Raw genomic sequence first — 26,518 nt, forward strand, 5'->3', positions numbered from 1 at the left:
AGGCGGATCACCTGAGGTCAGGAGTTCTGTGTCCCTAACAATATTTTAAAACTAGAGTATAGCCAGGCATGTTGGCACAAATGCATAGTCCCAGGTTCTCAAGAAGTGGAGGCAATAACTCAGGAGTTCAAGACGAGCCTGGCCAACATGGAGAAACCCCGCCTCTACTAAAAATACAAAAAATGAGCTGGGCATGGTGGCGTGTGCCTGTGATCCCAGCTACTAGGGAGCTGAAGCAGGAGAATTGCTTGAACTGGGGAGGCGGAGGTTGCAGCAGCCAAGATCGCGGCACTGCACTCCAGCCTGGGCGACAGAGTGAGACTCTGTCAAAAAAAAAAAAGTTAAAAAAAAGATTTGAATACATGTAAAACATTGTTGGAGTAAACTGATTAAGTGAGGGAAAAATGAGTGGGGGCCTTCCAGGCCAAGGGAAGTATGTGACAGCGTGCAGAGGAGGGGTGATCTATCAGAGCAGTAAAGAGGGAAATCCTGCATTGTCTCCATCTGCAAACGCTGCACAGGGGGTCCCGTTAAATGAAATGAGGCTGCAAATGGAGTCTGTCCTGGATGGGCTGCTGCAAAGGATTTATGAGCTGCGATGTATGTCATATTTTATGAACATAGAAGGATACATGCTGTAAAATCAAATAAGGTTATAATCTAGTCTTATGCATTTATGTATTTATTTATTGAGACAGGGTCTCACTGTCCTCCAAGCTGGAGTGCAGTGGCATGGCCACTGTTCACTGCAGCCTTGACCTCCTAGGCTCAAGCGATCCTCCTGCCTCCGCCTCTTGAGTACCTGGGACTATGGGTTTGTGCCAACATGCCTGGCTATACTCTAGTTTTAAAATATTCTCAGGGACACAGAACAGGGACACACTGACAGAGAGGCATCACAGGCCAGGGTGTAAATAAGGGGGAAAAGGCCTAGAGGAGCAGAATTGCCTTCTTGCAGAGGACTGTTGTATTAGTCCATTTTTGCACTGCTATAAAAAATACCTGAAAGTGGGTACTTTATAAAGAAAAGAGGTTTAATTGACTCACAGTTCCACAGGCTGTACAGGAAGTATGGGTGGGGAGACCTTAGGAAACTTACAATCATCATGACCCACCTGGAGCAGGCCTGAGAGGGCTGTGCAAGTGTGTACCTTCCCCAGCAGCAAAGCCTCAGCTAGAACAAAGGTGAGTGAGCCCAGAGGAGAGTCAAAGGAAAACAAATCATTTGGTTCAGTGAGCTGGAAAATATGCAAGAAAGCAGGGGTCTTGTTGCGGTGTCAGCCTGTGGCAGTAAGTCTCCATGTTGGTCCTCTATGATCCACCAAAGGTCTTCATGCCGTTTGTATAGTCCACTCCCATGTTGAATCAAGGCTGGTCTGTGTCACCAATAGAATATGGTGGTAGTGACAGTGGGTGACTTCTGAGGGTGGTCTGAAAAGGCATTGCACTTCTGCCTTGGACTCCTGCATTACTTGCTCCAGGGAAAGCCAACTGCCATGCTCTGAAGATATTCAAACAGCTTTGTGGAGAGCCACTGAGGCCCCATCTTGCAGCCAGCACTAACTTGCCAGCCCAGAGTGAACTAGCCAGGAAGTGGATCCTCCAGCCCCAGTCAAGCCTGCAGATGATGACAGCCCAAGCCCATGCAACTCATGAGGGACCTCCAAGCCAGACCTACCCAACCAGGCCACTTCCAGCTTCCTAACACTGGGAAACTGAGAAAGATAATGTACAATTATTGTTTTTAGTCACTACGTTTTGGAGTAAACAGAACACAAATTTTCTGAAAACAAAAAAACCTGTCACATACTTGGGTAATTGTTCAAGCATGAACTAGAAGAGAAGGAGATGGCCTGAGAAGTCTCCCTCAGTTGGTGCCTTTCTAATATGACCTGTTGGCCAAGGTGATTGATGACATTATATGAGTTTAGAGAGTTTTTCCTGGGAGCGATGGTTAATACTGCATTTGCCCAACCAGCTGCACAATCTGATTAGAGAAGTTATGATGTTGGCAAATTGCAAGGCATTCAGTGTCTAACTGTTGAATGAATGAAAGAAACAACAAACAGGGCAAGCATCACTAATTAATAAAAAAATTTGAATTTGCTACAAAATTACTTGCATTTATCCTCCTTCACCTTAGAGACAATACATAAATATCCTTTTACAAATTGCTAGTCTCACTACCAGTAGCCCAGAATGAGAAATTTAACATTTTTAAACTGTGTTTGCCAGAGTGTCTCTCAGCCTGAGGACATCTGTCTGCGGAGTTGCTGCTTATGCATGCTGGGTACAGCCAGGGTCTGGGTAGGAGTGGGCTGCAGCAGGGAATAAGTCCAAGCTTACACTGACTTCTTGGAGAGGGCAATTGTATTAGTCCTTTTTTGCACTGTTATAAAGAAATACCTGAAACTGGGTACTTTATAAAGAAAAGAGGTTTAATTGACTCACAGTTCCACAGGCTGTACAGAAAGCATGGCTGGGGAGGCCTTAGGAAACGTACAGTCATAGTGGAAGGCAAAGGAGAAACAAGCACATTTACATAGCAGGAGCAGGAGGAAGAGAGTGAAGGGTGGGAAGTGGGGTGCTACACACTTTTAAACAACCAGATCTCACGAGAACTCTACCATGAGACAGCCCTAGGGGATGGTGCTGAATCATTAGACACCACCCCAATGATCCAATCACCTCCTACCAGGCCCCACCTCCAACGCAAGGGATTACATTTCAATATGAGATTTGAGTGGGGCACAAAGCCAAACCATATCACCAATTCTACCAAGCTTGTACTACTGAATAAAGAAGATCCTTCATGTATGCATGCTTGTACACATGAACTCACAAATGTTTACTGAGTTCCTGCTATGATTCAGGTCGCATGCCAGGCTATAGCGATACAAGGCGAGCAAAAACAGATGTGATCCCTGTCCTCATGGAGCTTACAGTCAAGCTGGGTGATGGATGAGTAGCTATGGAGATAAGCATGAAAATTCAGCCACGGGAAGGACCACAAAAGCAAGTTCTATGGTGCTGTGAGTGAGTAGAAAGGGGAGATTTTACCTGGTCAAAGGGTTCCAGGGAAACTCTAATAAAAGCTGAGCTTTGAAGGATAGGTGGAAAGGCAGAAAGGGACGGGGGATGGGATCAGTTGGTGCAAAAACCCTGTGAAGAGGCAGCAAGGTGACCGCAAGACTGAAAGGGCAGCGTGACTGGAGTGACCGTGGATGGGATCTTCTATGGAGAAGGGGGAAGGAGACTTGAAAAGGCCTCAGCACTGCAGAGGAGATGGAGGAACAAAGGTAGGAGAAGCAGAAGACAGGTCAGGACAAGCTCCAGTGTCAGAAGTCAGGGAAAGATGCTTCCAGAACAAGGAAGAGGCCTGTAGGCTGAATGCGCTGAGGGCTCACAAAATCATGATTGAATCTAGACAGAGAGTAAGGTCCCCTCCCAGAGTGGAAGCTACCTATAAAACAGCTCAAGCCTGCTTTTTCATTTCAGGAGCATCATATGAATAACAATTCAGTACTATCTGTGAGCTGTGTTAGGGAAGCACATTGATTTGGATGCTACAGAATCACAGAATATTTTCTCCTAGATGTTTTTGTGCAGATTCTAAAGAATGTAAGGAAAATCGACTTTGCTTCTCAAGCGTGGCCAGAGAGCAATAGTTATAATGTGGATGCAGAAGATGGTGCTTTTTCTTAAGTCAGGGAAATCGAACTGTAAATAAAAGAGGCCCTCATCCTAAATGCCTCCCTGTCAACATTTTATTACTTACGAATTCAACACTGGAGAATTCTTGTTTTGATGGCCTATTGTGCAAAGAGCACTGTGTTTGCAGGTGGAGTATCAGGGTTTGCCTCCTAGCTGTGTTATTCCTTAACTGCATGAACATTGGCTGGACAAAGAACCTAAGTTTCTGCCTCTGTAAAATGGGCATAATAAAGTGTCACCCTCCCTGATGGTTCATGTGGATGAATGAGCGCACACGTTGTGACTATGTGAGTTGCAGAGCACTACATCCTTATGGAGAAAAGATCATAAAGCCTTATCAGTCACTTATTTACATGCTAGTTAGAAGGAGGTGATTGGATCCTTGAAGGAAGGCTTGATGGGTGGTGAGAAGGGTGCAGTATGAAAGGGCATGATGTGCTTGGGTAGGTGCCTTAGAGGGAGACATCAGCCAGGAGGGAAAGGGGCTGGGATCACCACCGGCGAACTGTCTACTTCATCACTTCCTCCAGGCCAGTCACACTGCACAGATGGCAAAGCCCCCGTCAGCTGTCAGCTGGTGCAGATGCCATTTCACAGGTGACCACAGTCTGTGCTCTGATCATGGGCCAGGCACACAGGTGGGGTTCATTATGGGACTACTGAACAAATGATGAATGTCCCCATTTCCAGAGTGAGTGCCTATCTGTCCTCATGCTATCTGAGGCATGGGGGGCTTGAGTGGCATGCCCTGTACACACCAGCATGGGCTTGGGTGGGCAGCTCTGCACTGCTCATGGACTAGCAGTTGTGGTCTGCTCTTGACAAGACGCTGGGAATCAGAAAAATGCAGCCTGGGAAGGCGGCCAGACATATGTTTTCTTAGCATAATGCCGGGCCAGCTTTTCAAACTGCCAACTGCAACTTGAAGACTACATTTTGAGCTCTTGTTCCACTCAGATTTACTAATGTCTCCTCCCCAAACTGTGCTCTTTTTAATTCCACAGGATTAGTGTGATTAGAGTGAACATACCCCTATGTCTGCCTATGAGAAGTAGACATAGGGTTAAAAATCTCCTTGGTGGGAAAATAAGTAAAGGAAGTGTTGCGCAACATTCATGAAAATTCCTTTAAGCTCCATGGCCTGAAGATTACAGCACTTGTCACATTGGATTGTGATTGTTTTCAGTTGTTTGTTTATCTGTTGCATTTGACTGTGAGCGCTTCGAAGCATGGGCTGTCTGTGTCTTAGTCACATTTGCACCCCCAGATTCTACTACATGGCATGGAACAAAAATAGGTGTTCAACAAAGGATATATAAAGGAATAGAAGAATGAATGATTTCTCCTGTCCCCATTGACAAGCAGTAGTTGGCAGAATTGGAATATCTTCTTCCATGTGTGGAATGTAGGCTGGATTGACCTGGGCCATTGGACAGAAACTTAGAACACAAATCTGTGAGTTTTTTAATTTAATCATGCCAACCATGCATATGTGAGGCTGGTGTCTGACACCTTAATCCTTTATGTTTCACTAATTCCCAGTAGATTTGTACAATAGAAGAGAATTGCCTTGGCACTGCCTTGCAGTGGAAACATGTTAGAACTTCTGTGCAGAGGAAGTGTGTTTTGGGCAATGATAGATTCATGGCAGGGTGTTTTTTAAGAAGCACCATTTCTTGTCTGCATCTTTGAAACTCTAAGAACATGAGTGATATAACATTGAGGTCTCATGTAGTTGTTTGCTAAGAGGGATTGGTCACTATCTGGATGATAAGGAAGTGTCTCCGATAAATCTGCAGTGGACACGGGGACATGGCGTGTGCAAAACAGACTTTTATTTGTCCTGTCTCCCCTGATCCTCATAGTTTTAATGAAAATGGGAGAGAGGGAAGGACCTTCTGAGAGTCACGTGTGGTGGAGAGAGATGTGTACTTGGGGTCAGAGGCTCAGACTGGACTCCCAGGCGCACCAGTTAAAGGGCCAAGCACATGCCACACGCCTTCTTGGAGCCTTGATTTTCTCCTGTAAAATCAGAATAGTGCCCCTAAAGTTGTTGTGAGAATCGGAACGAAATGAGTACTGTTCAAGAAAAGAAGTAAAGCATTATTTTATTATTTTATTTTATTGCCAGCTAGAAGCTATTTCTATCACCCTTCTCCCAGGTCAAGGCGAAACTGAGATGGCAGTGTCGACTTGCCTGCTTCTATTTTCTTTTCCCTTTTCCCTCTGTTCATAGAATCCTGGGGACTGTTGTGTTCCTCCAGATCTGCTGTGTCCGATTTATTGAGCTCCCCACAATCACAGCAAGTGCTGTAGGAGCACACTCTCTTTTGTTCTCCTTCTATGTAGTCTTTTAAAAATATCACTATTGTGTAATGGGTATTGTGTAGTGTCCTGCGGCGATCACAATATGCAGATATATTCAAATGTGGTGCTTAAAAAGGAATTAAAGAGCCACATGAGCCAAATTGAAGACTGAACAAGATTAAATGTCAGATGAATAATATGAGACACGCACTTTCAACGCTCTACTTGAGTCTGTACTGGAAGGTCATTTGAACTTGCTTCCCATTTATCCATATGAAACACGAGAATAGCAATTTAATTTACCCTATCACATAGGAATGCCACGACAATGTGTATGAGGAGTGCTGAACTCCTTGGATGTATAGTTATTTTAAAAATAACTAGAACAGGAAATAGTGTATATGAACACAAGCTGATCTGTAAAGCCAGAAAAGACCACAGAACTAAGGCAGACTAATAAGGCATTGATTTTAATGACTGGCCATCCATCCAGCCCCAGAGCAACCTCCACTCTGTTTGGTTTTGATGAACAAAATAGAAGCAACAATCAAGACATCAGGAAATTACATGAAAAAACATTTAAATCTTAAAATCTTTCACAGGACAACAGTATTGATATTGGACTCAAAACTGACAAGAAGGAAGAAAACTTCCGTGTGCTCATATTTTTGAGATGACCACGTTGAGAACAGATGACTGACTCCGAGTTCCATTTTCTTTAAGATATTTTGAGCCTAAAGGTAATAATACCTTTTGATTAAAACACACACTCTCATATTTGTAATGAAATCAGAATCAGAACTCATAAGTGTCAGTAATTTCATTTAATATCAAACAGCCCATGGTTGAGGGTTCTGAAACTCTAAAATTGGAAGTAATTTTGCATTGTGCTTCACTCTGAAATGTACCCCTAAGAAAGTTGCTCTAATAAGTATTCTGGGGAGGAAGGTAAGTGCACATGCATCTCCTGAGGATGCAGGGAAGGAAACTGATGTCTGTTGAGCTTTCACTGTGTGCATATAGAGATTATGGCATATGATTAGTTCATTACAATGAAACTAAAGAGTGACATCCTGAAATTACAGAAGTCACAATGGAGAGTTAACCAGCAGCATGAGAATAGTGTGACTCGGTATATTGCAAATCCTCTTTTTCTCCACATCCAATGAGTCAGAAAATCTCCCAAACCATACCTTTAAGATGCATCCAGAACCTCACTGGTTCTCGTGCCCCACTGCTGTCCATCATGTCCAAGCACCGTCTTGCCTCACTGGGATTGTAAGAGCCTGCTTACCCGTGTCTCCTCTGATCAGAATTCTCCAGTGTTGCCCTTCACCTCTCAGATTGAAAGCCTAAACCCTTCCTGCAGCCTGTAAAGTCCTCAGTGCTGCCTCCCCTTCTCTGCTTTTAACTTAACTCCTGCTATTCATCTGCTTTCAGTCACTGCTAATCCCCGGGGTCTACAGCAGTGCTGGGGACAGAGTAGATCACAATAAGTATTTGCTGAATGAATGAATGAATGGCAATTAACCTCAGCATTTCCTGGATATTACTGTGTTTGGTTCTGTGATGGCCTCTTTTGGGTGACAGATGAGCAATAAAGATAAGTCTTGGTTCTTGTCCTCTTAAGAACAGGGGGGAGTGCACTAGTCAAGACTCATTGGTTATAGAAAATAGAAATCTCATTCCAAGTTAGCAAAAGGGAATGTGCTGTCCCCAGAACCAGCGTTCAGAAAGCGCAGGGGTGAGGTGGAGCCCGGGACTCTTGCATCTGCCCGGCTCTTTTCTACCCACCTGGCCGCTCTCCATGCGTGGCTTCCTTCTCTCCAGCTGGTGTCCCTGGAGGCTGCAGCCAGAGCCACAGGCCCATCCTGGCTACTGCACTGGTGTTCGGTGGCCGCTGTAAGAAGTAATTACAAACGGGGTGGGTGGCTTAAACAACAGAAATCTGCTCTCTCAGTCTTGGAGGCCAGAAGTCTGAAATCAGTTCCACTGGCCTGAAGTCCAGCACAGGCTCTGGAGGAGCCTCTTCCAGCCTCTGGTGAGGGCTGCCAGCATCCCTGGGCTGTGGGTGCATCGTTCCCATGGCTGCCTCCGTCCTCACCTGGATTTCTCTTGTGTGCGTCAATCTCCCTCTCCTCTGTTTTATAAGTTACATACATGACTGCATTAGGGCCCACCCAGATAATCCACGATAATCTCTCTGTCTCAGCATGCTTAATTGCTTTTTAATAAACCATGTAAGGTGACATTCACAGGGTCAGGGACTAGGACAGGAATGTCTTTTTGGGGAGGAAGGCTGTGTTTCAGCCTGCCATGGCTACCATCCTTCCAAATCCACGAATGATGGGAGAAAGAGACCTTTCCACCAGCCCGTGTTAGAAGAGTCCCAACTCTGAGTGACCCTGTCTAGGCCACTGCAGAGCCCTGAGCCAGTGGGGAAGTGGGGCTTTGGGAAGGAGTGGGAGTAAGGAGGGGGCCTGTCACTTGGTTGGAGTTGGGGAGGGAGCTACCATTCCCCCAAAATAGGCAGAGCCGGGTGGCTGCTGGTGAGACAGAAACCACACAGCTCCATTAAATGGCATGTGGGGAAACATGATAACATAAGGGAGTAATGCAGGAAAGTGTGTTTGGGCTGGGCGTGGTGGCTCACGCCTGTAATCCCAGCACTTTGGGAGGCCAAGGTGGGCGGATTGCTTGAGCTCAGGAGTTGGAGACCAGCCTGGGCAACGTGGGGAAACCCTGTCTCTACAAAACATACAAAAATGAGCTGGGCATGGTGGCTGAAACCTGTAGTCCCAGCCACTTAGGAGGCTGAGGCAGGAGAATGGCTTGAGCCTGGGATATGGTGGTTGCAGTGAGCCAAGACTGCACCACTGCACTCCAGCCTGGGCGGCAGAGGCAGAGGGAGACCCTGTCTCAAAACAAAAAGAAAAAGAAAAACAAACAAACAAAAACCTTTGCTGGGAAGCAGGAGAGTTTCCTGGAAAGGAAGGCGGTAGGTTTACACCTTTCCTGGGTGCTCAAATTCAAAGAGATACTGTATTTCTGGTTTTCATCTCTTTGCAATTCATTTACCTTTTTTTTTTCCTCTCTGCAGAACACAAATCCGGTCAAGTTTTGGGTTGTCATGAGGGAGAACTGACATAGCGCTGGGCGGTGAGTTCAGCCAGGTTATCTCTGCGAGGACACCGGTCGGCGGCGGACAGCAGCACGCGGCGTCCAGGACCCGGCCTTCCTAGAGCTTAGGTCACTGTAGCCTCCAGGGGCGCTCCGAGTCCATCTGGAGGGCCGCGAGGCTTCCAGGCTGGAAGGAGGAATAGGGAGAAGGAGGAATAGGGAGACCTGGGGCAGTGTTACAATTACAGAAAAGGGAGAGGCGAGGTCCGCTGAGTCCTTGGCCTGGGCAACAAGGCACACTGAAAACTGGGTTCCTTTTCGACCCGCATCGTGCGCGCCCTAGAAATGACAGCCAGACGGAGCAGGGTCTAAGGACGCTGAAAACCCCTGACGTGGGCGCGCCGGGTGCGGGTAGGGACGTGGAAGGACTGGGCTAGCCACAGGAACTACAGCGCTGCGGACCGGGTGAGGGGTCCCGGCCCGAGTCCCCACTTGGGGCGCAGAGGTGTTTCTGTAAGGGGACAAAGGGCACTCCTCGGCGCGATGGGCGACTTCCCCAGCCAGAAAATGAGAGGGTTAGACGAGGGGAGGAACTTCCTCAGCCACTTGGCCCGGCACAGCGACCGCCCCAAGTTCAGAACCGCTAAGTCAGTCCGGGGCGCTCCGGCCCCTTCGTCCCGCGCCCCGCCCGCCTCCAGCCCGGGCCCCGCCGCCCCCGTCGCCCCTGTCGCCCGGGTCGCCCCCGCCGGCCCTGGCCCCGGCCCCGCACACCGGCAGGGGGCGCCCGAGCGCAGCTAAAAGGCTCGGCGGGAGGTCGGCGGCCTCAGTGGCGGAGCGCGGCTGCCGGTGTGCGGCCGGGAGCGATCGCCGCGGGGCAGGGGCGCGGCGGGCACCGCGCAGAGCGCGCAGAACAGACGGACGGCGGCGGGGACCCGACGGCGGCGCCTCGGCACTCCCCAGACTCCGGCCAGCGCCCCCCTGCCAGCCGCAAGCACCCAGCCCCGGCCCACCCCGGGCTCTCGATGGCCCCCGAGGCCGGGGCGACCCTGCGCGCGCCGCGCCGGCTGTCCTGGGCGGCGCTGCTGCTCTTGGCCGCGCTGCTCCCCGTCGCCTCCTCGGCGGCGGCCTCAGGTACGCGCCGCGCCCGGGCCCCCGGCGCTCCTCAGCTCCCCGCGCACCCTCCTGCGCTCGGGCCCCGTCGTCCCGCTCAGTGCTGGCTACGGGTCGTGTCACTAGCCTGTGCGTCCTCGTCACTCGCGGGTCGGGGCACTTGGCGCCCTGTGTGGGTGGCGGGAGCGGGGACGCCTCGGTGCCCGGGGACCGCAGCGCGCTGGCGTTTAACTTTGCCGTCGCCCGCCTTGGAGTCGGGAGGCTCCAGCCGTCTAAGTGTCCCGGGAGATTCAGGCACAGCGGGGAAAAAAGGAAAAGAAAGGCGACTTTCAGCGTGCGGACTGGGGTAATGCCTTTCTTTGCCCAGAATTTCTCGGGAGCGTAGGTGGTCATCCTACTTTCTCCGCGTTCACCTCTCGCGAGGCAGGATGACGGGCGCACTCGGGAGACCGGAGGGAGGCAGAGCAGGGCTGTTCTAGAAGGTCGTGGGGGAAAGGCTGCGAGCTGCCGCAGGGCGTCGGGTGCCTCTGCGCTCCAGAGGAGAAGCGCTCCAGTGCCAGCTCGGCTCCAGGCGGCAGGAGGCCCGCGCGCCCGGGGGGAACGTTCAAGCTGGGAGAAAATGTTTGTCTTGAGAGGAGGGAGAGGGAAATGAGAAAGCTGATTCCAGAGAAACTCGCCCTTCCCCAATGGCTGAGGCTGCAGCCAGGATGGATGCTTCCTTTGAGAGCAATGCTTTTCAGAAAATGCTAGCGCGCTCCTGTCAGATTTCTTGCAAGCTTCCTGCAGAGAGAGACAAGTTTGTGGCGAGGTTTTCATTCCTAAGCCTTTGGCGGCCCTTGTTACCACCTCCTTTGCAGGCATTTTTACACTTGAAACTGGCTTTTAGGTTATTGGTTTGTAGAAATCCAAGAAGCAGACAATGATCGTCAGATACTATTCCAACGAGGGTACCAGTTTTATGATGCTATTTAGTGTATATATTGTTCTCTTACTTCAGGGGTAAAGGAAGAAAAGTTGGGGATCACATTACTTTGTGACTTTTTGGTAGATACATCATCCCAATGCTTGGCTCAGGTTTATGCGAGGTATTCTGATGCCAATGCCACTTTCTCATAAAAGGCAGTGCCTGCCGTAGGGTCTTTTTCTTCCCATTAGTGAACTCTAGGAAAGTATTCACTGAATACTTTGCACAGTACTTGAGAGGAATAAAACTAAATAAAGTCTTCCAACTTCCCCACCTACAACTCCTGGCTTTTGTTTTTCTAAGTGAAAATTTTCAGAGTGCTGGAAGAGTTTTTGTTTCTGAAAATGATCTGAAACTGGAACCAGTGCTGCCCTGGCTTTGTGGCGATTCCAGCCTTCTGCTTTTCCGATTCCTCTGCCACCTGCCCGTGGGTTGCATGTGAGTGGGTCCGAGCGGGGTTGTTTGTGAGAGCTCCTGGAATCCCACCGCGATCTGCACTCTTGCTTTTTCGCCTTCTGCTCTGTGAATCACTGTGCTGAGGAATGCTGGGGCTGGACAGCTTCCCAGCCCTTCTCTCTACTGTGTTGACGTGGGATCTACAGTCAAATGATGACCAGACTAGAGGTGGACAAAGGAGGACAGGCACATTTCAGAATGAAATCTACTAAATTTAAATTAAGTAATAGAAGGATAGAAACAGACATAGCAACCTGTAGATAGCTCCCCATGCTGTGGATGAAATTATGGGGTACATAACTTCTTTCATGGGCTCCCTTTGACAGCAACGTCATGGATAGACTGCTCCCTCTCTCTGGTTGAACTAATGCATGGACCAAGCGAGCTGCTTGTGTCAAGCTCTCCCCTTCACCACCCTTTTGGGGCCAGAATCTCTGTAAGGAAATTACCCACGGCCACATAATAGTGGCTCCGAGGGACTTTGCTTAAAGCAGGACACACTGAAGATCTGGATAAGCCCTTCAGTGTAGGGTCAATTAAACATAAAACAAAATAAGCAAGCAGTGTCCCCTCCTCCACTCATATTCATCCCTACAATAGGATACTATGCAAACATTAAAATTATGATGGCCTTGCCAGTCTGGTATGATACATTTTTCTAAACACATGTGGATGTACTCACACATGCACATATTTGCAGTGGGTATCTTAGGATGGTTAGGGATGATTTTTATTTTCTTCTTTAAAGAAGCTTTTAGGGAATTTTCCATGTCAAAACTATTTTCAAAGTAATACTAAGATTACTAAGATGCTATTTTCCTTTTTCACAGTTGACATTTGCACTGAGGGTGCAAAAGCTTGATGGGTAAACTGCGGGTGTCTTACTGAGAATCAAGGCAGGGACATCACCATGCACTAGTAGTCTTTGAATTTTGGGGGGACTTTGCAGTTAAAAAAAATTTGCCAGTTTCATTAAGAATGTTCTTGATGCCACAGTAAAATTATTAATTTTACCAAATCTTTGTATCTTTGAGTGTATGTCTTTTTAATAGTGTAAATAAATGGGAAGGACACATAAGTTACTACTGCTGATGACCAAGTTCAGTGGCAACCCCAGGGGGAAGCACTGGTGTGATTGTTTGTGTTATGCATTAAGCTAGCTGGTTTTTTAAAATGGAATGTGGTATTTACCACAAAGAATGACAACAGACAAACTAGAGCTATTCTGACTTGGGTATTTGGCCGATGTTTTCTCAAAAATGAACAAAGGGAACTTGCTACTTCTAGTAAAATAACTGCTATTATTGCTTGCCAATGATAACATTTCAGCTTTCAAGTGAAAATCAGAATTTTGCCAAGTTGTTTCCACCACTGTAAGCTTGAAAGTTTCCCAATATTTAAATTTTTTTCTAGTGAGATCAATGGTGATATAAATGAATGTGATTTGTAAATGTCATCTCATAAAATGTGTCAACATTTGGATGATCTGCATAACCAAATAAACCAATAGATCCAAATGACCAGTGTATAGCCTTACAACAATCTTGCATGGGTAAAAGGTCTGTTCAAAGTGCATGATAGCCCAATGGATTTTTAATGTAACAAAATATGAAAAATTCTTCATATGATTTCAGATTCTAAGAATTGGCTACTTGATGAATTTTGGTGTAATATCAAAGATTTTTCAAAATTATCCAAAAAGGCTATTGAAATAGTTGTCCAGCTACACATCTGTGTGAGGCTGGGTTTTCTCCAAGCAAAACGACATATTGCAATAGATTGAATGCATAAGCAGATCGGAGATATTCTATTAAAAAGATTTGCCAAAATGTAGAAACAAAGCTGCTCTTCTCACTCATTTCTCTTTGTTTTGGGAAACAGTTACTTTTCATATAAATATATTTGTATGTCAACATGTAATGGTTTATTATTGTTTTTTAAAATAAATAAGTACATATTTTCGTTTTAATTCCCAGTAAAGTCAATAAGGATAGATAAAACTCACAGAAACATAACCTCCTTGGCATCCTCGTAAATTTAAGAATAGAAGATAATTCAGACACCAAAATGTTTGAGACACACTGGTATATACGGAGGGAAGTAGGTTAAAAATCAGGATGCCTGGGTGTGAGTGGCAGTGCTGTCCTGCACCTCTGGGGGCCTTGGGCTAGTCTCCGCGCTTCAGAATAGGTCAATTGAAGGAGGCTCCTTCCATCTCTGGAAGCCTTTAGAAGCTCGCCTGTGGCTCAACCTGCATGTGGCTTTATGGGGTTTCCCTGTTACTTCAGTCCTCTTTGAGAGAACGTGGTGAGACCCTCTCTCCTTTTTTGTGCACTGGCACCCGCCAATGGCAGATGGAAGAGCTGTTTTGTTCATCAACTGATCATGAAATTTATTCCTGTGGAATCAGAGGTTGTAATAGGATTGCAGAGTGACAATTTGCACCCCTGGAAAGTTATCACCAGACAGTTCCAGAGCATGATGAATATACTCTACCAAGACCATTCACATCATACTTAAGTTCTAAAGGCCCGTTCCCTGAAAACAGGAGGGGAAGGAGAGTGTATTCATTTCCTATTGCTATAACAAATTGCCACACACTTAATGACTTGAAACAATACAAATTTATGATCTTTATTATAGTTATAGAGATCAGAAGTCTGAAATGTGCGGTACTGGGCAAAAATCAAGGCCTGCATTGAAACTTTAAGGGAGAATCTATTTCCATGCTCTTTTTACCTTCTAGAGGTGCCCACATCCTTGGTTCTCGGGATTAGGACAAGGACATCTTTGGGGGATCATTATTCTTCCTACCTCAAGGGATGAGGGGGGCAGGGAGCCTGGAAGCAAACATTTCGGGAGAGGCTCCATCACCCTTGGCTGATTAAGGAGCAGACCTCTTTTCATTGGCCCCCCATGGAACTTAGGGATTTCTTGAGTTATAATTAAACTGTTATCAGAAGCTATTATTTCAGTTAAAAAATAGAGGTATTTAAAGGTATAAAAGTAAAGGAGAGAAAGGACTATGTATGTGTATGTATTTACTTGTAACTGCACAGAACGTTTCTGTTAGAATACCCATGAAACTACAAACTTTGGTGCCTTTGGGATGGAGAGCTGGGTCGCTGGGGGACAGTGGTGGATACTGTTTCATCCATCTCTTTTACCAACTTTTGTAGATGTATGTTAGAACATTTGGAATCAGGGAGGTATGTGAATTGGTTATTCACATTCGTGAGCACCCCGTTTTCCTCCCTCCTAAAAGTTATCCTTGCTTATGAAAAACCTGCGTCTTCCTCCCTCGGCCCGGCCTGGGCAGCGCTTGCGCTCTGAGGCCCTTAGAGGGCGCTCCTGGACTTCTGGAGCCGAAGCCACCACCCGCAGGCCCTTCCGTGCAGCCCTAGTTGGACTTAGCTGTCGCTGCGGCTTTATAGAGATAAGAAAATTAGGACAAACATCCAGTTATCTGCCTTGTTTCTCCCTTAGTGCTTGCCTTTTGGCAATTTTTCTACTCATTGGCGCTTTCTTCATATATTAAATGGGAAAGGACAGATCACTAATTAAGAGTCGAAATGGCTGCGTGTTAGCAAATTCAAATAAGCACTGATGAGAAAGGAAATTGCCTAGACCTGCAGCTGGGGTCAGAAGCCCGCTGGCTGTTGGGGTGCCGCTGGTGCCTCTGCAGGCCTCCACCAAAGATGCAGCAGCTGGAAGATGGGGTGAGAGCAAGGGATGTCTCAGGGGTACCAGCCTCAGGAACTGCCTCCTTGGCCCTGATGGGTCCCGTCTCAGCCTCTCCCTTCCACCACCAATGTTAATTTTTGTATCCAGAGAGGATAATATTACAATTATAATGTCAAATTATTATAATTATATACTATGTATTCTAATTATTATAATAATGCTACACTTGTAGCAAAATAACTTGAGAGGTGTTCATGTTAATTACAAAGTAGATGCTGCTCACATTTTTTTTACCGCAGTCTCCTACATGTGGACGAAATGATTTAATTATGGCATCCTTATAATCTATAAAGTACAATCTACATAATTCTATTTTCAGTTTTATGAGGAATTCCTAGGTGTACATTTTTACTTCCTTTTAATAATAACTGGCAGTTTAAAGTGTTACGGAGTTCACCATTTCTCTCTGTTATTTAATTTAATTTTCACAGTGACCTTACGAAGTCAGTAACATCCTCATCTTGCTACTGGGGCAGCTGAGGTCAGAGAGGTTAACTGGTTTTCCCTAAGTCTGTAATCTAATACTCAGTCTTTGCGGTCCAGATCCCACACTCTCCCTGCAGACACCCCTGTTCTGGTTGGTTTGAGCTTTTACTGTATCTCCTTGTTTTCTTCTCTAGGCTGGATGTGAGTGCCAACACTCACATCTTTGATCTGCTCAGAATGCCTTCCTGAGTTTACTTCTGTAACATTGCTGTCGGCTGTTGAAAAATGATTATGTGAGGTACTGAAATGTGTTGAACTCCAACAAGGCTAAACTTAAGACAAAGTGGCAGTGAATGTAGCCTCTGTTACAAGATGGATTTGGCCTGTGGATGTGAGCAGGGTCCTCACTGTGGGGAAGCCCCCTTTCCTTGGTGGTCCTGTTAAGCTCGCCTGTTGGCATCTTAGAGCCGGTGCTCGGTGTCTAACCTGTTACCCAAACTCTTTGCTACTCTCTGTGAGTGCTTGATCTTTACCGTGGAAATCACAACTTTGAACCTTTGAGACTGTATTTAACCAGAAGGCTCCCGGAAGTGCTACCACCTTGTGCTAAGACACTCAGTTTTGTTTACTGGACCATTTAAGTCAAGGAAAAATGCTGAGAAACATTAGTGGCTAATCTATATGGTTGACAAGTCCCTACATCTCACAGAGGTGGTGAGGCTGATGCTCACAGCGTTAAAGTGTCTTGAACTTCTCAGGAGAAATGTGCCATTTAAATGCTGGGCTCTGCTATTTAGGGACTGTTTTATGGTGTCACGTCCCTTCATCTGGTTTATTAGGTCCTAATTGAGCCACCAATTTGGCTGTGTGACCTTGGGTGGGTCATAACTCTTCAGGCCTCAGTTTTCTCATCAGCAAAGCAAGGGGATTGACCTAGATATTGTGAAGGGCCCCCCAGCTCTAACTTTGTGTGAGTCTCCATTTGAAGGAGGTCCATTCATTCATTCATTCATCCATTCAGCAAGGGTTACTGGGAGTCAGACAAAGACACAAAGTCAGATGAACATAGTGCCTGCTGTCAGAGGACACACAGGCAAGGAGGGCTGGATGAGGATAATACAGACAGGTGATACGTGCTAGGACAGAGGTAGCACAGGTGTTTTGAGGGTGAATTGACTGGGAGGTCAAGGCCAGCTATATTTGAGCCCTTTTGAGAAGGACATAGGCATTAGTTGGAGAAAGATGCTGAGGAAGGACATCTCTGGTCGAGGAACAGACCCTGCTGCACACGTGAAGTCATGTGCAAGGAACCAGGAATATTCGAGGTGGTTCGTGCTAAGTGCTGCTCTGGGTCAATGGTGGCATTCGGGGTTGGAGGTGTAGGAGGCACCCAGCTCAGGAAAGTCCTGGGGTCTGACCTTGATCCATAGTGTTGGTGGCCACCGAGGGAGTGCCATAAGGTGGCATGTCGCTGGGTCAGTGGGAGGTCAGGTAGCAGCCAATCCCAGTACTGCATGAGGCTCTGGCCAGAAAGGGCCATTGAGGCTTTTGTTCATTGTTTGGGGCTTCTTCTATATTTGCTTATTTGTTTGGGGCCTTCTTCATGCCAATATAGACCAAATGCCTATATTGTATCGCCTCCAGTCATATCTCATTTGAAGAATCATCTTTGTTTCATGTTTTCTGAAATGGCTCGTATGTTCCAGAACAGTCTTATTTTGGAAAGGGCTCCAGGGTAGCATAAGTCTCATGTATTTACATGTGGGCAGTCTGGTAGGATTGATTTATAGTGCGGGTCTTGAACAGTTGAGTATGTTGGCTTTGGGGCCAGGGGTGGGTCTGTGCCAAATTCAGTGTGGTTCCCAAGGAAAGACCCTGTGCAATTTTAGGAGTTCATGGGCGGGGAGTGGTAAGTAACTTGGCTTAAAGAGGAAATAAATGGACACAGTTTACTGAGACTTTCACTAAGTCTGCAAACAGAGTGGAGATGAGCATGTGCCACTCTTGAAGAAGTGTGGATAGCGGGTACCTTAAGCCCTAGTGCTGTGGCTGGAGTTAGCTAGCATTTTAATAAAGTACCTGAGAAAGCTGTGCGGTGATGTCTCCTAATTTTTCATGATCCCACATTTGTCTGGAGATGAAGTCTCATCCACAGTCACCCATGGCGGAACTCACGGGGCTGGATGGGGTGTGGCAGGTGTGGTCAGGTGTGGTGTCCTAGGAGCTCAGGAGAAGCCTCCCTAGCCAGGCAGGGGAGGGCAGGACCTGGGGCAGGTGGGCTCACTGTGAGCCCCTTCTGAAGAATCAGGAGAAGCTGCTTTTGACAAAAGCTCTGTGAAATTTATGGGTGCTCTGGGGGATGGTGGGGAAAACTGCCATGGTGGCACAGAATCACATATACAATAAAATCCCCCTGCAGAGAAGGCTCGGCCTCCTCTGATGGATGTGTGCTCGTGATGACGCATCAGTCACACTTAGAGGACAGAAAGCTCAGGAGTGCCCTTCACAGAGTAGCTGGTGTGGCTGTGTTTACTTTAGTGGAGTGTCGTGGGGTGCTTTCAACGATCATTTCTTATGGCCAATTCTGGTGTGCCCATTCCCCCGCAGACATAAAGGTCGGTGGTTTGGACTTCACCCTAGGCTTAAATGCTATTTTTCAAAAAATGTTTTAAAAAAGTTTTAATTTTGAGATAGTCATAGATTCCTGTTCAATTATAAGAAGGATGAATGTTGTCAGAATCAAAATGGAGTCACTTATGCTAAAACCCCTGACAAACAGAGCCATGAAAGGCCAGCAGGGGAGGATTCTATGCACGAATGCCTGATAACAAGAGCTCTCAGCAAAGACTACAAAAATTACAAGCCTGCCAAAGGCCATGACAACCTGACGTCTGCCCAGCAACTTCCTGTCCATCCTCAGACTGGCACTATCCTCTTCATTGATCCTTGTAGCCAAGGATAATGAACTCAAGACAATTGCTATCTTCCTTATTTTCGCTTTAAAAGCCTTTGTCTTCCTTTCACTCCCTGAGTATGCGTATAGTTCACCGTGGCATACAAATTCCCATTGCAATACATACTCCTAAATCAACATCATTTTCTCTTGGAGTCTCCCTCTCTGTTGTTTAGGTTGACAGCAGTAAGGTGGACGTACCATGTACCCTCCACCTAGTTTCCCCTAAAGGCGGCATTTGCATAGCTGTAGTGCCGCATCCCAGCCAGGACAGTGAAGATGCAGAAGAGTTCTCTGAGAAGGCCCCTGTGCTACCTAATGTAGCCATATTTACCTTCCTTCCTCCCATCCACCCCAGACACAAATCTGTTCCCCCATTTTATAATTTTGTCATTTTAAGAATGTCATATAAATGCCGTTCTACAGTATGTCACCTTTTGAGATTGTCCAAAGACTATTTTTAAAAGTGTTTTGCCCATTCTGCTTGTGATCACTGCAGTTAGCTTGCAAGTGTTTTTCTTTTTTTTTTTTTGTAAATGGAGAAATCATGGCATGCAATTTGGCATCTCAGGGAAGTGCGGCTACCACCCTGGTCCAAGCCGTATTACCTGGATTTTTGCAGTGACCTCTCCATAGTCTCACTGCTCCTGTCCTCTCCCGCAACATTCCAGTCTCAGGACAGCAGCTGCAGCAATTCTCGTGATGCACAATGTCACAGAACCTTCCAATAGCTCCCTGACTCCCTCAGATACAAACCAGAGTCCCAACAAGTTTTCCAGACTGTGCATGATCCTTTCCACACCACGCCCTCCCTCACCGTCTGCCATCTGCTTTGGCCTCCGGCCTCCTGGCTGGTTCTGCAATGTACGAGGCCTCTTCCAGCCTTAGGGCTTTTGCGCTGGCCGTTCCTTTTGCCTGAGCAACCTTCCATGAACATCAGTGGGTTGATAGCTGGGTGCAGTGGCTCATGTCTATAATCCCAGCACTTTGGGAAGCCAAGGCGGGCAGATCACCTGCCTGAGGTCAGGAGATCGAGACCAGCCTGGCCAAAATGGTGAAACCCTGTCTCTACTAAACAAAAATTAGCCAGGCATGGTGGCAGACGCCTGTAGTCCCAGCTACTCAAGAGGCTGAGGCAAGAGAATCGCTTGAACCCAGGAGGCGGAGGCTGCAGTGAGCCAAGATTGGGCCACTGCACTCCAGCCTGGGTGACAGAGCAAGACTCTGTCTCAAACAAAAACAAAAACAAAAACAATCTATGGGTTGATGCCTCATCCTCTTCAGGTTCTTTGTGCAACATCTTCTCAAGAGGCCTTCTGGACTTCTCCCTGCCTTTAACAGGGTAATCCTATCCTTACCCCCAGCACATCTTATCACTGCCTTATTTTGCTCCACGCCCTCATCAACACCCGGCATTTCATATATTTTACTGGCTTACTTGATATTTGGCTATCTTCCTTTGCTGGAATGTAAGCTCCACGAGGGCAGGACATTGTGTTGGTTTTATTCCCTGCTATAGCCTCCGTGTCTAGAATGCTGCCCTTAAATAGCAGAGGCTCAGTGACTGCTTACTAAATGACTGGATGTGCTTTCTTTGGTATTAGTTACATATGATATACCTAAATATATTTATGTATGTTGACCGGCCTCCAGCAGAATAAGGGGGTGGTGCCGAGTGTGGGACAGTGCCCTGCTTCCCTCCCAGCCTAACTGTGTGGTGTCAGCATATGCGTTAGTGAGAGAGTTGCTTTGTGTTGGAAGTCCATTTTCAGTTGGAGAGAAGAATTGTATTTACACAGTATGTGAGTGTCCTAGGGCTGCTGTAATAAAATACCACAAACTGAGTGGCTTTAAACAACAGAAATGTATTATCTTGCAGCTCCGGAGCTGGAAGTCTGGAATCTGTAGGGCCAGTCATGCTCTCTTGGAAGGCCCTGGCAGAGAGCCTATCCTTGCTTCTTCCTAGCTTCTTGTGGTTTCCTTGGCTTTTAGACACATCAGTCCAACCTCTGCCTCCACGTCATATGGCATTCTCCCTGCGTCTTCTCTTGTAAAGACACCGGTCATATGGGATTAGTTTTGGCCATCTTAACTCTGTAAGACTGTATTTCCAAAATTTCCCAATAAGGTCACATTCACAAATACCAGGGGTTAGAATTTCAATATATTTTTGGAAGGGATACAATTTAACTCATAACGTGTGGTGTGCTTACCAACATGATTCCTTTTCTTTTTTTAATTTTTAATTTAATTTTAAGTTTAAGTTCCAGGGTACATGTGCAGGATGTGCAGGTTTGTTACATAGGTAAATGTGTGCCATGGTGGTTTGCAGCACCTGTCAACCCATCACCTAGGTATTAAGCCTGGCATGCATTAGTTATTTTTCCTGATGCTCTGCCCCAACCCCCTGTCCTCCCCTGACAGGCCCCAGTGTGTGCTGTTCCCCTCCCTGTGTCCATGTGTTCTTATTGTTCAGCTCCTACTTATAAGTGAGAACATGCAGTGTTTGGTTTTCTGTTCCTGTATTAGTTTGCTGAGGATAATGGCTTCCAGCATTATCCAAGTCCCTGTAAAGGACATGATCTCATTCCTTCTTATGGCTGCATAGTACTCCATGGTGTATATGTCCCGCATTTTAAAATCCAGTCTATCACTGATGTGATAGACTGGGTTGATTTCATGTCTGCTGTTGTGAATAGTGCTGCAATGAACATACGTGTGCATGTATCTTTATAATAGAATTATTTATATTCTTTTGGATATAGACCCAGTAATTAGGTTGCTGGGTCAAATGGTATTTCCAGTTTTAAATCTTTGAGAAATCACCACACTATCTTCCACAATGGTTGAACTAATTTACATTCCCATCAACAATGTAAAAACGTTCCTATTTCTCCATAACCTCGACAGCATCTGTTGTTTCTTGACTTCTTAATAATCGCCATTCTGACTGGCATGAGATGGTATCTCATTGTGGTTTTGACTTGCATTTCTCTAATGATCAGTGATGATTCCTTTTCAGTAGGCAAAAGAGTTCATCAGCTTCTAGCACTGGGCCACAGCTCAGATGAGGAAGGGATAAGCCCCTGAGATGCATTGTGTGCTGAACTGTCAACCTGGTGTTCCAAAGACCTATGGACATTCAAGTGGTCTTAATTATTTGATCAAGCCTGGCTAGGTCCTTCACTGATAGATTAAATAATAAGTAATTAACTCACATCTTCTGCGGGCAGGGCACTGTGCTAGGCTCTGGGGTTACAAAGATTTAGTAATAAAGAAGTTGGGATTGCTGTGGCCATAAATGACAACCAAATATGATAAATGTAGCAATATAGGATCATCTTGGACTTTCTAATAAACTTCCGCTTGCCAGATGTAGTGTTTTTACATTGAAACATACAGAACTGTAAGATCAGGAAGAGAAACCACCAACTATGTCTGAGGACCTTGCCTGGCGGGCACACTTTGGTGTTGACTCAATCTGAAACTCAAAAAATCAGTACTTTTTTTCCTATTCTGTAAAATTTGGAATGTGCCTTTCTCTTTTTTTCTGTCTAGATTGTATTTTCTAATTGAGACTTCCAGGTCATGAGATGAAGGCAGTCTTGTTCTACCACAGACAGTCCATGGGCCGTGGATCTGACAGCCTTTGACCTTCTTGATGATATGGAAAACCATCACGTTCTCTTTTCCTGTAACATGTGCCCTGGCTCCAGTCTGTTTTTTAATACCACTTTCCACTCCACCCATCAATTTCCTTCTACTGCTCTCTGATAGCCTGGGAGAATTGAAGCATCTTGTTTTGGCTAATAATTCTCAGAATCCACATATGTACCTGCTGATATTCAAACAAACCACACCCAAAGGATGTGAGGCCTTGGGGTGATCTTATTTTCACAGCTGCATCATGACTGCACTTTCAATGCTAGCACCTAGGGAGGCTGAGGTTCAGGGTACAAACACTAGATATCATCTGAGCAGATTGTGTGTCCCTCTTAACAAGCATGCGGAATCTGACTTGGGGTCCTTGGGATGAGTTCCGTGGGGTCCACTGGCACTCTGAAATTGTAATGTAGTTTCATTACAGGAAACAATTCTCAGCATTTTGAGGAGTCAAAGATAGGCTAGGTCACAGCCACAGAGAGGGACAGACTATGTGTCCTCTTGGAATTCAAGCCCTGGAAAGCAGTGAGTGACCCAGGGCTTCCACACATGGGGAAAATCTCTAGTAAAAGCGCTCTTTGAATTCCATTAATGCCATACTCTGTTCTCTGATTATCCTAGCTTTGGGAGGACTTCCTTTCCCCTGGGCCCTGATAATGTTTCTTGTTAGTGGCACTCAGCTGATAGTAAATGCCTGATACCCTCACTCTTTCATGTGCCAATGTAGTGCTTCCTTCAGTAGATTGAAGCCCATTGCCTTTCTTACATATCTCCAAATTAATTCACTTGTATTCCCAGGGGAGTGGCTTTCTTAGTAACTCTATGTCACCCAATTGAATAGCATATTCAAAGATGTTTACCTTTGAAGGTAGGGAAATGTGTTGGAATTTGCCTGGGTCTGTCCAGTCATGGAAATCACTGAAGACTATTTTGGATTTACAATCAATAGGCAGATGGAAGAGGAGAAGCTGAATCAGATTATCTAAGTTTCCTTTCAACTGTCAAGATTTAAAAATTCCAATTAAAAGTATGTTTTCCAAGATGGAAGGAAATGAGGACCAAATGCCAGCTCTGCTGTGTGCGGAGGGAGAATTGGCCAAGAGCTGAGATACTGGGAATCAGGCTGGGTCATTTTGTACCAGGTTGTGATTGGGGATATCAGGTGTTCTGTGGCATTTATTCCTCATGTTGATGTTATCTCACATGTGTGGAGTGTTTTATGATTTTCTTTCATATTTTATTCTTGCATCAATCCTATGAGGTAGGTAGGATTAGCTACATTCATAGAAAAATGGACTAAGTTTGATATTTGTAGAGAGAAACTTGAGTGGCATATTTGCTTTCTTTGAGGGCCTTGAATGGTGGTGGACACTCTCTTTCAAGAGGAGAAAAATGGGTTCTTTTCAGCCTTGACTTGACTTGACATTGGGGGACATTCCCTTCTTCCTGAAAATCTCTCCTGCTTCCATGATGCAACTTTTTTCTGGTTCTCCTACCACTAAAATTTCAGATTTAAACTGTCATCCCTCAGACCTCTGCGTTCTTTGGGTGGAGATGTCAAGTAGACAGTTGGACACACTGGAGCTCAGAGGGGAAGCCAGGCTGGAGTTGGGAATTCAGGAGCCTTCCACATATGGATGGTCTTTGCAGTCATAGCACCAGGTGTGCTACATGGGTAGAGAAGGAAGGAGTGCAGTAGAGAAGAGGGAAAGCCAGAGCTGGGCTCTGCAGTGCTCTACCATTTAGAGTTCTGGCAGAGGAGGAGGAGCTGGCAAAGGGGACCAAGACGGGGTGACCAATGATGTGGAAGAGAAACCAGGGAGTGTGGCATCCCAGAAGCTAGTCTAGTGGTCAGGGAGGACCTGAGAAGACTTGCTTCTAGGAGGAGGCGCTCACTGTTGTCGGACATAGAGTAAGCTGAGGAGCAAGAGATGAAGATTTGGCAGCATGAAATCTTGCGTTCACAAGATCCATTCAGGGCACGAGCTCATGTGTCCTTATGAATTCAGCTGCCACCACTGGCTTTCAGTTTTATATCTTTGGTTCTGATTTATCTCTGGGTTTATACTTATTGCTTTTAATTATAATTACAGCTGAGAGGGAACAAAGTATAGTAGAAAGAGCATGGTCCATAGTTTCAGATGGGTCTGAGCTTGACTGTCACTTACTAGATGTGTGCCCTTGGGCAAATCACTTAACTCTCTGTGACTCAGTTTCCTTATTTATAAAAATGCGAACACCAAAGTGCAGTGCACAGGCTTTGAAATGGGGATCAAAGAGAAAATAGTTATGATAACACAGCTCATTTTAAATCACTTCTATATTGCCAGTTCCTTGCTTAGAATCTGACACATAGTAGGCACTCAGTAAATCTCTGTTCCATAAATGAATGAAATGGCTGGCACTAAGTAGGTGGTCAGCAAATGTTCCTTTCCTTTCTTTTTTACTTCCTTAAATATTTTTTTCTATATTACAAACGGATCCAAAACTTAAACTCTTAGTTTATTAGGTGTGTAGTGTATTTTCCCCTTTTTATTGATAATTTACCTATGCCCATTCATAATCATTAAATGAGTTTTATTATCTGAAATGTTTTAAAAATGGCTCATTAGCAAGTGGGGTTGTCACTGGGCCTATGTGGTAGCTGGCTCTTGGTCATGTCTGTCTCATTCACTGTGTTTCAAACCTACCTCTCCAGAACCTTTGCTTGGCCTCTCTTCTAAGGGTGTTTTTCAGGGAGCTTTCTGAGTAATATGAGTGGTGATTTTGGGTACAGTAATGCCCAAGTGTTTAACATAGTTAGACAATGACTTTCACATTTTGGGAAAAGGAATAAATTTTCAGGGAGTGGTTTTTGGTCTGGCATGCCAAGCAGTTTATAGTAGGCTGAGACTAGCTGGACTAGCAAACAATGGTCATTCTTTAAGAAACTATTTCTTGGTTACAAATTGAATCTGAAGAATGTGCGAAAAAATTCCACAAAAACCTGCAAAGTACTGGCTTCTAGTTGGGTCTCTGTTGCCTGCCAATGGAAGGCATGAGCCCTTCCCAACTATAGGCATTTGCTCTTTAGGGCCTGTTATTTCTTATGATTGTTATAAATAAATATACTTATGGAATTCCTCCAGTTCCATTTCCCTAAACCATTCTGGAAAGCTGGTGGTTTATATGGAGGGTGGGGGGGGGGGAATCTTGTTTTTGCTCTGAAACGGTAGCTTTTGCTTACACTGGATCCTAAACAAAATGGCCAAGAACTTTAAAACCTCAAATCCTAATGATTGAATTCAGCCAGATCTGATGGTGGAGTTCAGTCTGATTTATGGCTGCATCACTCTCTGGGCAGATGTAATTACTCAAGTCAATGGCCTACTGACAAATAAGCATTGAAATTGTCAAAATTAAATTCCCAGAGGGGATCCCTTAAAAATAACAAACAGAAAGTAATGAAAATTAAACCAAAGCAGCTCTCATTTAAAAATCAGGAAGATGATTTGATTTTACAAATCCAGAAGTGATGTTAGGTAGCAGTGGGTTGGGCTGCAGACAACATGATATCTGATTAACAGTGGCTAAACAAGTAAGAGAATTGTTTATCTCATTCACCAGTAAACTTGGGAGCAGAGAGACCGGGACTGTCCCATGGTTTAACAAGGTTATGGACACATAGCCTTGTTCCATTTTCCACTTTGCTGTCATCATTCTCAAGATTGTCACTCCATGTTTTAAGTTGGCAGCTGCATCACCAGGTATCATGTTGACATCCCAAGGGGTAAAAAAGGAGGAAGGTACAAAAGGCCACCAGCCCATAACAGCCAAACCTAACCCCTTTAAAATGCTTTCTGAGAAATGGCAGGACGAACCTCCCTATGTCTGTCATTGGCTAGAGTTGATCATATGGCCATCCTAGCTGCAAGGGAAGCTGAAAAGTCATGACTGAATGTTTAGTATTCTGGCCTCTGTAGTAGAAGGCAAGGGAGAAAGAAGCTGGGAATAGCTTTTGGGTAGCCAATCCATAGTGTCTATGGTGGTGGTTTCTGAATTTAATGCAATCTGTCAGACGG

General features: G+C 45.7%; 1 protein-coding gene and 1 long non-coding RNA gene across 4 annotated transcripts in view, besides 3 other annotated features; one reads left to right on the forward strand and one right to left on the reverse strand.

Moving 5' to 3' along the window:
• Positions 1-6,465: 6,465 nt before the first annotated feature.
• On the reverse strand, positions 6,466-10,574 carry FNDC1-AS1 (FNDC1 antisense RNA 1). The gene is made up of 4 exons (NR_121668.1): positions 10,379-10,574; positions 9,100-9,328; positions 7,816-7,921; positions 6,466-6,755 (listed from the first exon to the last, which is right to left on the reverse strand). It is a non-coding gene; the product is annotated as an FNDC1 antisense RNA 1 (long non-coding RNA).
• Positions 9,846-10,015: a silencer, noted in NCBI's record as "silent region_17750". NCBI's record gives its function as "represses an Ori minimal core promoter by ATAC-STARR-seq in GM12878 lymphoblastoid cells {active_cell/tissue: GM12878}" and the evidence as "EXISTENCE:reporter gene assay evidence [ECO:0000049][PMID:35858748]".
• Positions 9,967-26,518, forward strand: part of FNDC1 (fibronectin type III domain containing 1) — a 102,709-nt gene continuing 86,157 nt past the window's right edge. For all 3 annotated transcript variants that reach the window (NM_032532.3, XM_011536190.3, XM_011536191.3), the window contains exon 1: positions 9,967-10,272. In NM_032532.3, coding sequence (NP_115921.2) covers positions 10,164-10,272 — 109 coding nt within the window. In that variant the 5' untranslated portion in view covers positions 9,967-10,163. The remainder of the gene's footprint in view (positions 10,273-26,518) is intronic.
• Positions 10,822-11,321: an enhancer, noted in NCBI's record as "H3K4me1 hESC enhancer chr6:159591287-159591786 (GRCh37/hg19 assembly coordinates)". NCBI's record gives its function as "activates a minimal SCP1, AML or CMV promoter by ChIP-STARR-seq in primed H9 embryonic stem cells {active_cell/tissue: H9 hESC(primed)}" and the evidence as "EXISTENCE:reporter gene assay evidence [ECO:0000049][PMID:30033119]".
• Positions 14,884-15,178: an enhancer, noted in NCBI's record as "tiled region #9512; HepG2 Activating DNase unmatched - State 20:ReprD". NCBI's record gives its function as "activates a minimal TATA promoter and a strong SV40 promoter by Sharpr-MPRA in HepG2 cells {active_cell/tissue: HepG2}" and the evidence as "EXISTENCE:reporter gene assay evidence [ECO:0000049][PMID:27701403]".

This window comes from Homo sapiens, chromosome 6 (genome assembly GCF_000001405.40).
Source record: "Homo sapiens chromosome 6, GRCh38.p14 Primary Assembly".
NCBI classification, from domain to species: Eukaryota; Metazoa; Chordata; class Mammalia; order Primates; family Hominidae; genus Homo; species Homo sapiens.